General features: G+C 42.1%; 1 long non-coding RNA gene across 1 annotated transcript in view; it reads right to left on the bottom strand.

Annotated features, from left to right (window-relative positions):
• DELEC1 (deleted in esophageal cancer 1) overlaps nucleotides 1–14263 on the bottom strand; it is a 260827-nt gene extending 246564 nt beyond the window's left edge. Inside the window, exon 1 of the long non-coding RNA NR_163556.2 lies at nucleotides 14213–14263. This is a non-coding gene — a long non-coding RNA (deleted in esophageal cancer 1). The remainder of the gene's footprint in view (nucleotides 1–14212) is intronic.
• Nucleotides 14264–15197: the final 934 nt, after the last annotated feature.

Below are 15197 nucleotides of genomic sequence, written 5' to 3'. Positions count from 1 at the left end.
GGAGCACAGTGGCGCAATCTCAGCTCATTGCAACCTCTGCTTCCCGGGTTGAAGCAATTCTCCTGCCTCAGCCTCCCAAGTAGCTGGGACTACAGGTGCCCAACATCACACCCGGCTAATTTTTGTGTATTTAGTAGAGACGGGGTTTCACCATACTGGCCAGGCTGGTCTCAAACTCCTGACCTTGTGATCTGCCCGCCTTGGCCTCCCAAAGTGGTGGGATTACAGGCATGAGCCACTGTGCCTGGCCAATTCCATGTATTCTTAACAGGTATTCTAACTACCTTGATGCTAGAAGTCCAGGGCATGATTTTTGGTGCCTACAGACAGAAGCCTGAGTTTGTATCTTAAAAACAGTTGATCTTAAAGCTTATTTTCCAAATAGCATTTTAAAGGAGGATTTGAATGCAGGGTCCACAAACACAGCTGGCAGGCAGGGTTAAGATAAGGGAGTTTGAAATACCTTAAGGTGGCAGAAAAATCTAAGATGATCTCTCACCCAAGGCTCCATATAGGCAGGTCGAACGGGTCTTATCCTGGGTCTTCGTGTGCTAAAGACAAATTTATGCGTGTTTATTTCCACTGACAACAAGTAAGGATTCTGGTCATTGTCCCTATCCCTGGTTCACTCCCCTACTGGCCCCTGTAGATGCCAAACTCCACACTTGCCAGGAGTTGATCTTCACAATTGATATGTGCTGAGCCAGTGCTGGCTGACAAAGATGTCTCAGAAATCTGGGCCACCAGCCTCTATATCCCGGGAGAACACCCCTCCAAACATTAGGAAAGAGACAGATGGTGAAATCCATCTTTCTACCTCCTAAAAAGCCACATCCTGCCAAGATCTTTCCAGCTCTGGATCCAGGCCCCTTCCCTCAGTCTCCCTTCCTGGACCAGGTGGAGATGAAGTCAGTCTCCTGGCTCCTCCAACTCATCCCCGGCGACTCAGCCCAGCTCACAGCTCTCCCACACTAAGTGAGGTTGACAGCTGGTCACTAGTGAAAGGAGAAAGACGGGGAGGTAAACCAGAAGGAGCAGAGAGCACCGCCAGTTAGGCCCTGTCCTTGCTGTTTGTAGGAGATGATATTACTGCTCACCTATCCTGTGCCTCTATCCTGTGCCCCTCACATGGAGGATTATATACCTTCATCCTGTTCAATTCTGGTAGATTCACAAGACTTGTTTTGGCCAAGGAAGCATAAGCAGAAGTGATGTGTGTCACTTCTAGGAAGATGCTTCTAAGAGCCAATGTGTGGTTGCTATATTCTCTGGTCCATCTGACAGAGTTCCAGATAGAGGCTGCTCAGTCAGCTTGGGCCCTAGGCAGAGACTGAAGTGGAACAGAGCCACAGCTAAGCAACATGGCCACATAGCACAGTAGGGAGTTGAAAGTTGTAGCTGCACATTAAGGTTTAGGGATCATTTGTTACCTAAGCATAATTGAAACTATCCTGACTGACTCCCTTTTTGTCCTCCTTCTTCAGCCCTCTAACATGGGCCGTGTGTTCCCACTCTGGGTTCCCTTGAAAAGCCCCTATGTGTTTCTATGTCCTAACATGTACCATGGCATATTGGAACATGTATATGTTGAGTATCTGTTCACCAGTCCCTGGGCTCTATGTTCCTTGATCTGTACCTATACAGTTCCTGGCATGCAGGTCACACTGCATAATAAATGCCTTTTGAGATTAACTGAATTTATTTATTCTTGCAATGAATGTTTTGTGTTATCCCTTCTTTGGGCATGACACTGTGCTCTCTACTAAGAAGAAATAAACAAAGAGCAAACACCAACTCTGAATTCATAAATCTTCCGGGATGGCAGGGGTGATGGAAGACTGTCAGTTGGCTAACCTAACTTAACACACAGTCCTTAGAATCTGGAAAAGCAACCAGAAATGGCTACATTATTTGAGCCTGAACAAGTGGAAATTTTCTGGGTATTTTGAAAAAAACTTTTCCTTTTCTGATAAAGAGGATTGCGTGTAGGTAATGCCACTCATCCCCCTTCCTCCTGATTTGAGTGAAATGTCCAAAACTGTGACTGCCAAATGAGATGCTCATGAAAAATCAAATCAAATACAGATACCAACTTTGATATTAGTTGATATTGTTAGGGCCAGATTTCTTAATAAGTGAAAAAATAAACTCAGAGTTGTTTTACCCATTGCTAGTCAGATTTTTCTGTCAGTGGCAACCAAACACATCCTAACTGATACCAGGAAATAAGTTGTTCATTTTTGGAACATCAACCTTTACCATCTTCCTGCATTGTCTACCTCCTACTAACATTTCAAGATTCAACTCAGTCATTATATCCCTCCTAAAGTTTAGTCTGTATGCCAGAACACAAACTCTGGATCCATTCTGCCTGGATCAGTAAAACAAGTTACATAAATTTTCTATAAACAGCTAGTTTTATTAACCCTACAATTCTTAGATCCTAGGAACAAATTCTGCCTAGATCTTTGATTTCTGTAGGTGTCCCCAAAGAATCCATTTTCTATGGGTTGCATACATTTGAAATTTCCCCCTACCAGAACTTGAGAATCCTTTCTGTGGACTTCCAGGGACCTTCCTATGACCTGGGGCCAATCTGGAACACAGGGTGAGCAGCAGGATCTCCAGGGTCTACCACATACTCTGTATTGCTGGGTATCTTCAGACCCAAGAGTTGTCTATGGGGATAAGTTTTAGTTGTTGTACACTACTAGAAAACACCTAAGCATCTCCCAATCATTAGTTTTTTTCCCCTTGCCACTGAACTTGAACTAAATGTGTCCCTTGCTTAGCTTCTATGAAGCCTGTCAATTACACTGTCCCCTACCTCAGTGATCCCTCCCCCACCTGCTAGCTGGGCCATCCCAGAAAACCATCACACGTATCATTGTGTAAAATGGCTTTGGAGACCCATGACCTGAGCTCAAATGCTTGCCACAGTAGATCCTGAACAAAGAAAGGAATGGTGTTTCAAGAGGGAAAGTATAGACCGGGCACGGTGGCTCATGCCTGTAATCCCAGCACTTTGGGAGGCTGAGGTGGGCGGATCACGAGGTCAGGAGTTCGAGACCAGTCTGGCCAACATAGTGAAACCCTGTCTCTACTAAAAATAAAAAAAAAATCAGCCAGGTTTGGTGGCAGGTGCCTGTAATCCCAGCTACTTGGGAGGCTGAGGCAGGAAAATCACGTGAACCCAGGAGGCGGAGGTTATAGTGAGCCAAGATCGCGTCACTGCACTCCAGCCCAGGTGACAGTGCGAGACTCTGTCAAAAAAAAAAAAAAAAAAAAAAAAAAAAAAGAAGAAGGAAAGTATAACATCAAGGCATTTTCCAGACCCCTGTGCATGATCATAGTATAACGCAGGGCTAACGGGCAATTTATGGGCTCAGATAACCAAAGCTCAGATGTTGACTCCACCACTTACTAGTTGGGTAATCTTAGAAAGGTTACATAGCTTCACTGTGTCTCAGTTGTTCATCTAAAAAATAGAAATTATAACAGTACCTGCTTCATAGATTGCAGTGAGAATCAGTTAAGCTAACATATAAAACACTTAACATTTTTTCTGGCTATAGTAATTACACAATAAAGATTAGCTGGCAATATCAAGCCATAAAAGTAGAGATAAATTGGTTGGTCCCTAGCATCAAAGTGAGGAGGAGCTGCTATGAAACTTTTGAACATGAAAAATGCATACAAGTAGACAACCGATAAGAGGAGTCAGAAAACAGAAAAGCATAATGCCAATGAAAATTAGATTGGTGAAAATATAATTCTGAAGGCCAAGATTTGTTAATGAATAGAAACTGTCTTTGGCAGGTGATCAAGTAACCCAATTTGGAGAAATAATTAGACTGTAGACTGAAAATATAAACGACTAAAAAAAAACAAGGGGTAGTTTAGTGTCATAGTTAAGAGGAATTCCTCATTGCCCTATGTGTTTTCCCTGGGATGAGCTCAGTTTAGGAGTAAGAAATTGGTCCCCTCCATAGAGATGATGAACAGCTGCAATTCATTTTCAGTTCCTGTCAAGGAAGGTGGATGCAAGAAGCTAGGGCAGGAATACAAGGACCTGACATTGAGAGAGGCCATATTCACCAGGGGACCATGGGGTAGATACAGAGGCATCCATGATTACCGGGCAGAAATGTAAATTAGGAAATCTTTAATGTGATGAGATAAATTGCTCCAAATATGCATTTCCTCTGTTTCAACTTGGAATTGGTTAAAGTGCACCATGGTTATGTTGGCTGGATGTGTGGGTCTGAGCCCAGGACTGGGAGCCTGCTATCTCCAGTTACTTTCTGAGTGACTTTGAGAAAATGCCTTCCCATTTCTGGACTTCAGTTGCCAGCAGCTATAAAGTCAGCTAGACCACTCCAAAGCTCCTTCCAACTTTAAAATATACCTGACATATGGCCATAAAGAATAAGTAATTGGCTATTATGGTGGTTTTAAGGGGCACATGTTTAGACACCATATCCTCTTCTCACCCACAAAGTCAGAACCAACTTCCTACTTTGAAATTAGAGTCATATTTAAACAAGGGAATTAAAATGTCATCTTCATTAGATAAGGTTTGGTTGGAGAACATGGTTTAGGTATCTGAAATCATGGGCTTTCCAACAGTGCACCTGAAATTAGCATACAGGAACACCTATTCAAGGACAGCACTGCATAGCTGCATGTCCTTCCCCAACTCCAACAGGCAGACCCTTTTTTTAACCACAAGGCAGAAAACAGACACAGCCTCTCTGTGAGCAGGCAGGTCCACAGAGGATGAAGGAACCAGCTAACTAGTGGTTCTCAAACTCAAATGGTCATCAGGACCATATGGTGGGCTTGTTAACACACAGATGGCTGGGCCCATCTCCAGAGTTTCTGGTTCAGGAGCCTGGAGTGGGGCCTGAGAATCTGCATTTCTAACACGTTGCTTCACGCTATTAATGCTGCTAGTCCGGAGACCACAATAAGAACATTGAGCTAAGTATATTCAGCAGCTCCAAAACTCATCAATTGAATACATAAACTCATTTCTCCCCTGCTGGGGGCAGATGAGAAGAGGGAGGAGAGCCAGCATTTCCAGGGACTCTACAGTGTCTCTATATGGAATAAGGAGTAAGTTCCCTTCCACATCAACTATTAAGTTTTAGCAGAATGTAGTCATGCAGTACTTACTGATTTATTGGCAAAAGTAAAGAAAAACAATGCTATTATAATTGTGCTTCCTTAAGTGTAGGAATTCATAATTCACTAGGATACTAGTAGTATAATTCCTAAGAGAAGTTATACCACTCTTCCAATCAAAAATAAGGTTTCGTAATTTTCAATGTATTAACCAACAATGAAATAGTATAAGGAACAGTTGGACAAGGACAATAATTCTTATAATTATTAGCTTTCAAATTACAGAAGTGTTGAATTAGATAGTACCCTGGACTTTGCACACATGCTCTGATTTAAACAATTCGCAATCTTCACTAAAGAAAGTCAGTGGGTTTATCTTCTGATATGCTGGGTGCTGGCAAAAGTCATTGCACTAGAAGCTATAAACTGGGATTATTGTCCACATTGGCTATTTTTTCAGTTGGATTGCCTTGGGCATGTCACATTTCTTCTCTGACCTTCTTTCTTCGTATGTCAATTTCAGATGATAATACCTGTAGACAACTGAAAGGTCTGTGCCCCCTTACCTTTGTCTGTACGGCCTTGAGCGCTTTATATTTTTGCAAGCTGTAAGTTCATTTGGTGCCTGTTGATTGAGAGCCCTTAAAATCAAGCAACTCTTCTCACCTAGTAAAGCAGAAATATGTCTATATATATAGATATATGTATATATATATGCATATATATATATATCACTAGCATTCCACTTTTCTAAGCATCCATACATACGTATATGGATACACAGCCAGCAGTGAAATGCTGGCTGTCAACTTGGCCTTCTTTTCAGCCTAAATTGATTTGATTAAAGGAGAATGTAAGAGTCCCTCATATCCCCAGGTTTAGAAAAGAGTTCTTTACGTGAAACTGGCAGCTGGAAGGAGTTTAAACATTCCTCCAGCTTTAGAATTCCTGTAAGATTGAAAAAGCTATATCAAGTCAAAATATGTCATCATCAAATATTCAAGAGGAATAATTTCAATTGTGCAATTACTAAGAGAGCACGGTTTCTCTGCCTTCTTAAGGAAATATCTAGTAGGAAGACTTGAAAACAGATAAAGAGGAAGCAGTAAGTGAGACTGAAATAGAAATAAGGAGGTACAACAAGGGTCACATTAAAACCCACTTATCAGATGAGAGTGTGAGTTGTCTGGGACCTAGCAGCCCATGCCCATAGCCTGCCAGCTATCCAATACAGGCAGAGCATAGAGATTCAGAAGCTATTCAAGTCAAAGCCCAGGCCTGAATGAGGGCACGATGGCAAGCAAGGGTGGTGCTAGACAAAGAAGAATACCAAAAACCCAACCCACAAGAAGCCAAAAATTTAAGGGACAGAGAAGGAATAGACAGAGTGGTTCAAGCAGAGGAACAGTGCAAATAGATGTCAAAGGAGACTTGCGCTCCAGCCAGGACTAATTAACATTATCTAGTTCAGTGAAGAGGTCTGGTAAAAGAAGAAACAGAAAGATGGCCACTGGGTTCAGTAATATGAACACTGGGTTGACCTCAGTGGGAACAGACTCAGGAAAGGAGGGTGGAGGGAGAAGGCTAATGAAAATGAATTGACAAGTGACTATGAGAGGAGGACAGGCAGTGAGTATAGACTCTGCACAGATGAGCTTAACAGAGGCTGACACACAGTATGTGATCAAAAACATGGGAATAAAGAAGAAAGAAAGGGATAAAAGAAAAGCAGAGAAATGTATACTCCAGCGTAAGAAGAAAATGCCATGAGGGGCATGGCAGAAGGATGAAGAGGCTAAGGTTTCTATGGGACTCTTTTAGGTAAATTGATAGTTATGTATTATTCAAAGACATGTATCCACGAATTAAATTACAAGCCTGAAGAAAACAACAAAGAGAAAGGTCTCTTCTCCCTCTGGACAGATTATTTGCATCTTTGGCACATTTTCTATTCAGTCTAAATATTTATGGAGACAGTTTTACTTGGAGTTGCACCATCTCCATCAAGGGATGTTAGCAACATGACAAAGAAACAGAGAAAGAGATGATGAATGTAGGGTGTGTGATGGGGTGGGTGGGAGTGCTGGGGCCAGGAGAGCTCGCTGCATTTCCCAAAAAGATGCTTTGAGGGAATCTGGCCTTGTGGATAGGAACGCATTAATTGTAATCCATGGCAACATCTCAAGATGCATGATCAGAGTGATTCATTTGCTATTAGCTTTTTCTTTCTCTATGCATGATGCCATAGTATTGCCAGCAATGCTGACCAGGAGGGAAATTATTGACAAGACCTACTCACCTGTGACTTGCACAACATCTGCAATCTGGTCATTGTCTATGTCTGTATCTCCATCTCCTCCTGCAGTAACCTCAATAACTCTCCTCCATCCCTACTGGCTTTTGCTCTTTTTCTTTCTTTGTTTCTTTTTTTCTTTCTTTCTTTCTTTGTTTCTTTCTTTTTTTGATGGAGTCTCGCTCTGTCACCCAGGCTGGACTGGAGTGCAGTGGCGCTATCTCGGCTCACTGCAAGCTCTGCCTCCGGGGTTCACACCATTCTGCCACAGCCTCCCAAGTAGCTGGGACTACAGACGCCTGGCTTTTGCTCTTTTTCAAATACATCAAGCTGGTTCCTGACTTAAGACATTGGTCCTGGTTTTTACTCTGCCTGGGAAGCAGATATTTGCAAGGTTCTTCCCTGTCACTTGCTTTAGTTCTTTGATCAAAAGACTTCCCCTTGAAGAGGCCTTCCCTGGCCACCCTTGTAAAAATAAATCTTCAACCCAATATTAGTCTGTAGACCTTTGCCTTGTTATGGGCCTGTCACTGCTGCAAACTTGAGTAATATTTTGTTTAGTTACACTTGTTGCATTTCTCCCATGAAGGTGAGGAATATTTTTGCTTTCTTAGTGCTGCATCCCTTAATAACTGGAAGAGTATCTGACACAGAAGAGGTGTCTGCTAAATATTTGTTGTAGGAATGAAATAATGAGTCACTTTAATCAATTAATCCTCCAGGAAGACAGGAAGACTCCTCTAATTTCCCAGGTTGGGGTAGGTCTTCTCATATTCACTTCTATATCCCCCCAGCTATATATTACATATGATTGTGTAATAATGTATGAAAACAAGCTGTTCTCATATCTGACTCTCCAAACTGCTCCTAAGTTCCTGAAGCTCATGAACCAGGACTGATTTATCTTTGCATCTCCAGTGTCTCCCACAGCAGTATTGTTCACTGAAATGAAGGTGAAAGGCTTTATAGACCAAATGATAATAATCAATGAAAAAAGGAGCTGTGGGACAAAAAAGGACTCGAGACTTAGCAATGGCTTACCTTGAAGAAAGAGAGATGGTTCTGCCATACATTACATTATTTTTAACCAACTAGCAAAATACATTAAATATCCATGTGAAGTGACGGGCCTTGTCAGAATAAGCATCCTGAACTGAGAGTCAGGCACCATCTATTCTGGCCCTAGCCTTTGTGTGAGTCTGAGCAAGGCCCTTCCCTTCTCTGAGCCCATTCTCATCTGTACCATGAGAAGATTAGACCATGGGATGCCTAAAGGTCCTTCCAATCCTGTGTTCCAGGATTCTATATACCTAGGACAGTGAATGGTGCAATGGAGGAAAAAAAATGTGTACAGTGTGTAACCTTGCTCTCACAAAAGCCAACCATGCAGGATTTGGAGTCAGAAACACATGGGTCTAAACCCAGAGTCTGAAACTTAACAAACTTTGTGAACTCAGACAAATTTCTCAATCTACTTAAGCCTCCATGAAATGGAAATAGTAATTCCTAACTACACATTCAATAAATAACAACTTGCTCTGCACTTCTTTCCCATACATCTCATGGCTGGCTGTTTTAGCCATGTTGACTCGAGAACGAGAAGGTTCTTTTATTAACAACATCCTAGCAGTTTGGATAGCTCAAGCGCTGCTGCACCTCCAGCTGACTCCAACACTGGAGTAGACAGCCTCCCTCACAAGGCTAAAGTTTTCCAGTCACTCTCTTTTGGGGCCTCTGAGCAGACTCTATTTGTGTTACCCAGGAAGTTTCTTGAGCCATTTCTTTTGCTAGAATTCCACGGTAAACATTCTTACAGATGACTTACTGCCTGTCACAACATTCTACTGCTCTCTTTCCAGAAAGAATTCCTGCAGAATGAGGTCAGTCGCTTACTAACCGTGACTTCTATTTCTTTCACCCCTTTTGGTCTTGCCATTAAGATGCTGAGTGACTGACTCTGGCTACCTTAATGGGTCACTTCCAACAGCTGTGGGAGCAAAATGTTCCAACAGTTCAAGACAGAGCCCAGAGGATCCACAAGATGAAGAACAGACTCCAAATACAATCAGAGGGCCAATGGGGAAATTCCAAGTTTGTAGATCCAGTAACCATGGAGGGGAACTAAGAAGTTCTTAGATATGTTTCTAAAAGATTTGGAAATGTATAGAGTGCAAAGATGCTTGCCTTCTTATAAACATTCTTATTCATCAATGGCCCCGCGATGCAGGAATGTTGTTTCTTTTTTCTATGCTTCCAAAGTGCTGGAGGCCCTTAAAGGAATTGTGATAAGGACATTATAGAATATACAACTCCTACTGGAAAGGGCGGCAGCAGCTCCCTCTCCCCAGCTATGGGGGAGCACAAACCAGGGGCCTTCAGGTAAACACCTCTCACTATTTCCCTCAAGAGGAAAATGGGTGTCTCCTTTGACCTCAGAGTGAGTGCACAGGAATATGCTCCTTCTCATAATCTCATATTGCTGAATTATGAATACATTTGCTACATCACTTTATCTTTCATGTCATATAGCTCATGCTTGACACATAATGTTGCAGAAGTGATGGCTTTTAGTTTGAACTAAAGACTATTGGCCAACCCTGATTTAGGAAACCGTTCCTATTCCCATCTCTAGTAGATAATAATTTCTCTGTGGTTGCTTACTAAACTAACACTTCAAAAAGGCAACAGAGGAACTATATTGCAATCAATCTATCGTCTACTCAGTTATTCAACAGACCTTTACAGAGCCTCTAGGAGAAGCAAAGGCTCTTACACTGTACTACTTGAATTTCAACCCCAGCCACTAACCTCTCTGATTCTCAGCTTCCTAAATCATGAAATGGTAATAATAACAGAATCTATCTCCTAGGGTTGTTAGTAGGATTAAGAGTCATGTCAACTTTACTACATGTAATAAAGTGCCTGACATTGTCTGTGCTGTGATGTTCAGTGGGTTAGGTGTATTAAATGCATTTTTGACTTATGATAGGTTTAACTTATGATGGGTTTATTGGGATGTAATCCCACCATAAGTCGAGGAGCAGCTGTACTCAGTTCTCTAGTATGATAGAACATGGGATCCTTGAGGATGGAATTTTATGTGATTTACTATTATGTTCTTTGTGCCCAGCACAATTACCAACACAGGGTAAATACTTAATTAGTATTTTTCAAATGATGGCATGAATGAACAAACAATAAATATAGAGTAAAATGCTTGAGAGGAACTCCTTTATTTAAGGTGGTGTTTTTATTTCAGAGGGATGATTTTATTCACAAATATTGTGGGGACAAACTCTTTGGGGTTGATTTTGTCCGAAACAATCTATAGGGCTTTTTACATAAAGAATTTCCCCATGATTTTCAGTTACATGGATCCAGACTGGGGACACATGTTTGGTATTTTATAAATGGGAGGAAAAAAAAAAGAAAAATTCCAGAGAAGCATCAAGCTGAGCCCAAGTGATAAGAGAAATACCTAAAGAAGGAACAACATTGAAAGAAATTTTTTGAAAATATTCAAAGTATATAAATCATTCTGAAACCATGGTGTCCTGGTAAGAAACACAGAATAGAAAAAAAAATTATTTTCTTCTGTGCTAATATTTCATCATAACTGGCAGCTCAAAACCCTTGAGAGCCTGGAGTTTGAAGATCTTTGAGATGGGAGCTGGAAGGACTGATCTCAGAGCACTACCTTGGAGCCAGTTCTCGGGAAAACCACAGCACACTGTGTGGCTTTCTGGAACCCTTGTGGAGACCTCTCATTATAGTACAGTTTCAAGGAGGAGACAGGGCTCCCTCAGGGGGCTGACTGACAAGAGAAACAGTTAAAGGATAAAGTCATACTAGGCATGGCGCCAAAACCCAAGTAGTCCTTGGGGTCTATCAACCAGGCTGTCAGGAGCCTGCCACTCAGTCATTCCTGCAGCACCCTTCATGCCTATGACTTTACTTAGGCAACTGAGACCCCAGTCTCTGCCTAACACTATGTGACATGATGGGTAGCAAGAGATGTAAATCTGAATGCTGGTTCCGTCACTATGCGTGGCTTACCTTAGCTGAACTTCAAAATTCTTGTCTGGGAATTTAAAAAGAAAGAAGGGAAAAAAAGGAGAAAGGAAGGAAAGAAAGGAGAAAAGAAAAAAGAGGAGAGAGGGAGGGAGAAACAAAGAAAAAGAAAGAAAAGAAATAAGGGTAAGTGAAGGGAAAGGGGGAAGGGGGTAGAGGAAAGGGAAGGGAAGAGAAGGGGAGGGAAGGGGAGGAAAAGGAGAAGGGGAGGGGAGGGGAGAAGGGAGGGGAAAAGGGAAGGGAAAGGAGAAGGGGAGGGGAGTGGAGGGGAGAAGGGAAGGGAAGGGGAGAAGGGAAGGGGAGGGGAGGAGAGGAGAGGAGAGAGGAGAAGGTGGAAGGGAAGGGAAGGGAAGGGGGAAGGGAGAGGAAGGGAAGGGAAGGGAAGAGAAGAGAGGGGAAGGGTAGAAAAGGGAAGGGGAGGGGAGGGGAGGGAAGGGAAAGGGAGGGAAAGGGAGGGAAGGAGAGGGAAAGGGAGGGGAGGGGAGGGGAGGGTGAGAAGGAGAAAGAGGGAAGAGAAGAGAAGAGAAGGGGGACAGGAAGGGAAGAGAAGGGAAGGGGGAAGGGAAGGACAAAGGGAATGAAAGGGGAGGGAAAGAGGAAGGGAAGGGGAGAGAAGGGGGAAGGGAAGGGAAGGGCAAGACAATAAAAGAGGAAAGAAAGGAAATTATTATAATGATTAAGTGGAATCATAAATTTAAAGCATGGTTCCTAGCACACAGCATAACTTTGTTAAATATTAGTGCCCTTGCCTACATTCACTCATTGTCCGCATAAGGGTCTTTCAGAATCCCCTTGTTACTTAGCTCAAAATCGGTGCTACATGCATATAAATTCACCCTACTGCTTGTCCCCAGATGAATAAGATTTAATTAACACTTAACATTTTGGTACTTGCTCACTTTGGTGGGAGTATGGAGGAGTTTCTCTTCCTGTTGAACACACCATGCTCACCTGGAAATGTCCTTGATGACAACTTCCCTCATTGATTGCAAAATATTTTAATACTTTTGAGCTTAAGCTTAGATAAACTGGAATCCCAGTGTTCTAAAAGATAGGTTTGGGATCAGTCAGGTCTAAATGAAATCTCAGTTTTACCAATTACCAGTTGTGTGGTTCTGGAAGCATTACTTAATCTCTGAGACCCAATTTCGTTAGCTATAAATAAAGATAATATATATACCCCACAGAGTTAAAATATTAAATATCATCATGTACATTAAATTGTCCAACACAGGTGCTCATGAAATTCATTCATCCATTCAATAAATAGGTATCAAGCACCTCCAATGTATAAGGAGGTATTCTAGGAACTGATGATGCAGTTTTAAACTAAACAATATTTCTGCCTTCGTGGAGCCATTTCTTTCAGTTAAAAAAATGCTATGAAGCAAAAGAATGCAGAATAATAGGATGGACAGCAATAGTAATGGTGTTGCTAGAAATAAACACTAGATCCTTTTTCCCTGTGTTCACACAGTTCTCCTCTTTTTGAATCCCAAACTCTCCTGCCCACTGACCACAGGTCTCCAGGGAGGATGAATAAAGGGTTAGATTCTGTTGAATTGAGTCATCTGACATCATTTAAATAAAGTTGTGGACACCAATAGAAGAGTACATGGTCATCAACAGGACGGATAGAGTTGGGTGTCGCTTTGGAGACCCTTGGAGATGCACAGCTATGCTCGGTCTCCAGGCTTGTCATAGTTGAAACTACAGAGGCGATTCTTGGAGAAGGACATTTCCCCCCAAAGAGGCAGTCCTCAATAATGCCATCTTTGTTGCAGCAGAACATCGGCAACCTTGTTCTGAGCTGAGTCCAAGTTGAGGGGAAAGAGGGGAACAGCCAGCTGTGAAAAGATCAATTTGTTTCCAATCCATTCTTTCTTATGGTTAGAGAGGCTGGCTCCCCACACTGGCTGGGTCTGTCAGGGACAGATGCCAAGTAGGGCACAGACTGAAGAAACACCCCCTGTTCCCACTGAAGCAGGAGCATTCAGCCTCTGCTCTGAGTAAGCCTCAGAGTCTATGGCATTAGCCATCCCCTAGTTAGGTTGCTTTGGGGAGACACAAGTTGGGGCAGATGAGAGGGACGCCCCAAGTCTAATTCAAAACTACAATTATTCAAACCCTCCATTTATTTATGTTTGTAAATACCCAGTGTTGGCAGGTTGTGGGAAAGCAGGGGTTACCATATACCATAGCTGAGAGTGTAAATTGGTATAACCTCTTAAGAAAACCATTTGGCAGAATCTATGGAAATTGAAAGTGCATAGACCCTATGTTACAGACAGTCTACTTCTAGGAATTTATCCTTCAGATAAATTCTCAGAAGTGCACCCAGATGAATGCACAAGGAGGATGTTTATTACAGCATTGTTTGTCACAGAAAAAGTCCAGAATCAACTGAACATTATGTTGTAGAGTAAAAGAATGAGCCACACATAGAAAGAGGTCTGAGAGAAAAAGGAGGAAGGAATATTCAGTTTGGTATGCATGGTAAAAATCTATTTATTATACATAAAGTTAACCCCTGCATCAACATGTATGTTTTACATCCTGTTGGATCTCTGCTAATACCTCTGTCTGTTCCTACCCCTATCCCAAGATTCAATAATACAAGGCAAGAAGACTCCTGTACGGCCCTGTGGATGTGCAAGATGCTAAGAATGAGTGGATATTACAGATAGATGTAAAAGTAGGAACCTTGCCAGCCTCTATTACCTTTCCTCAGTAGATCTGTCTTCCTGGGCCAGGGTGAGGTAGAAACAATAGCTAGATGAGTAATCAGTGGCTTGTATGGCTTGGCATTTTTCCTGAGCTCCCTTTGGAGAGGGAACTAAGACCATACTCAGTATTTTCAGGTTTTCAGTCTCTTCATAATTGACGGCCCATTCCCTCCTCTTATCAAATTGCACAGAGATCAAATGTGAAGGAGCCTGAAAGAAAGGACAGCGTGTATTGCTCAATTAAGAATTTGCTCCCTTCCAGCTCTAAAACATCCCCAAATTTTCCAGTTGCAAATGTTACCAAATTTACAATGACCACCAAATGTTGAATAAAACATATGTAATTCTACCCATCCTGGCAATAATTCACTGTGGAGTTTTGGTCAAGCTTCCTGCTCTCAGTCAGCCTCAGTTTTCCCTGTGGTTCATGTGATAAGGACTATGTACCTAGGGGGGCAAGAGCAGATCACCTGTGCCCCTCTCTCCCTGCTTCCTCTGACAGGCATAGCTAATCAATCACAACATGCTTTCCTACAGATCTCAGATGATTCCTCTGACTACTTCTTGACACAGAATTGTAAGCAATCACAAATATTTAATCCAAATTGATGTAAAAGTCAACATTTAATTGTCCTCTCCATACTAGATGATATCTGAAGTTCATTCCAGATTTAACATTCTGTTTCCACAATTCAAGGATTCATTTGAACGCCAGCTCGTTCATGAAGTCAACCTAGATTGCTGAAGAACAAGTTAATTTTTCCTGTTTCTGACTTATGGAGACAGAGCTATATAAGTCGATATGAACTTGACTTCTGGTTTCTTTGCATTGTTATCTCATTGTCACCTGTATAACAATGCTGCCTCCATGGGGAAATTTAATTTAAGTATAGAAAGTACATCCCATATAATAATTTTCAGACTGTGATGCATAGTACCCCCAGAGTTACTCAAAGATTTTCCATGGGCTCTAGTTGGCA

The sequence above is a fragment of the Homo sapiens genome, chromosome 9, assembly GCF_000001405.40.
Source record: "Homo sapiens chromosome 9, GRCh38.p14 Primary Assembly".
Taxonomy (NCBI): domain Eukaryota; kingdom Metazoa; phylum Chordata; class Mammalia; order Primates; family Hominidae; genus Homo; species Homo sapiens.
Note: the sequence above shows the minus strand (reverse complement) of the source record. Positions and strands in the feature narration are given on the sequence as shown.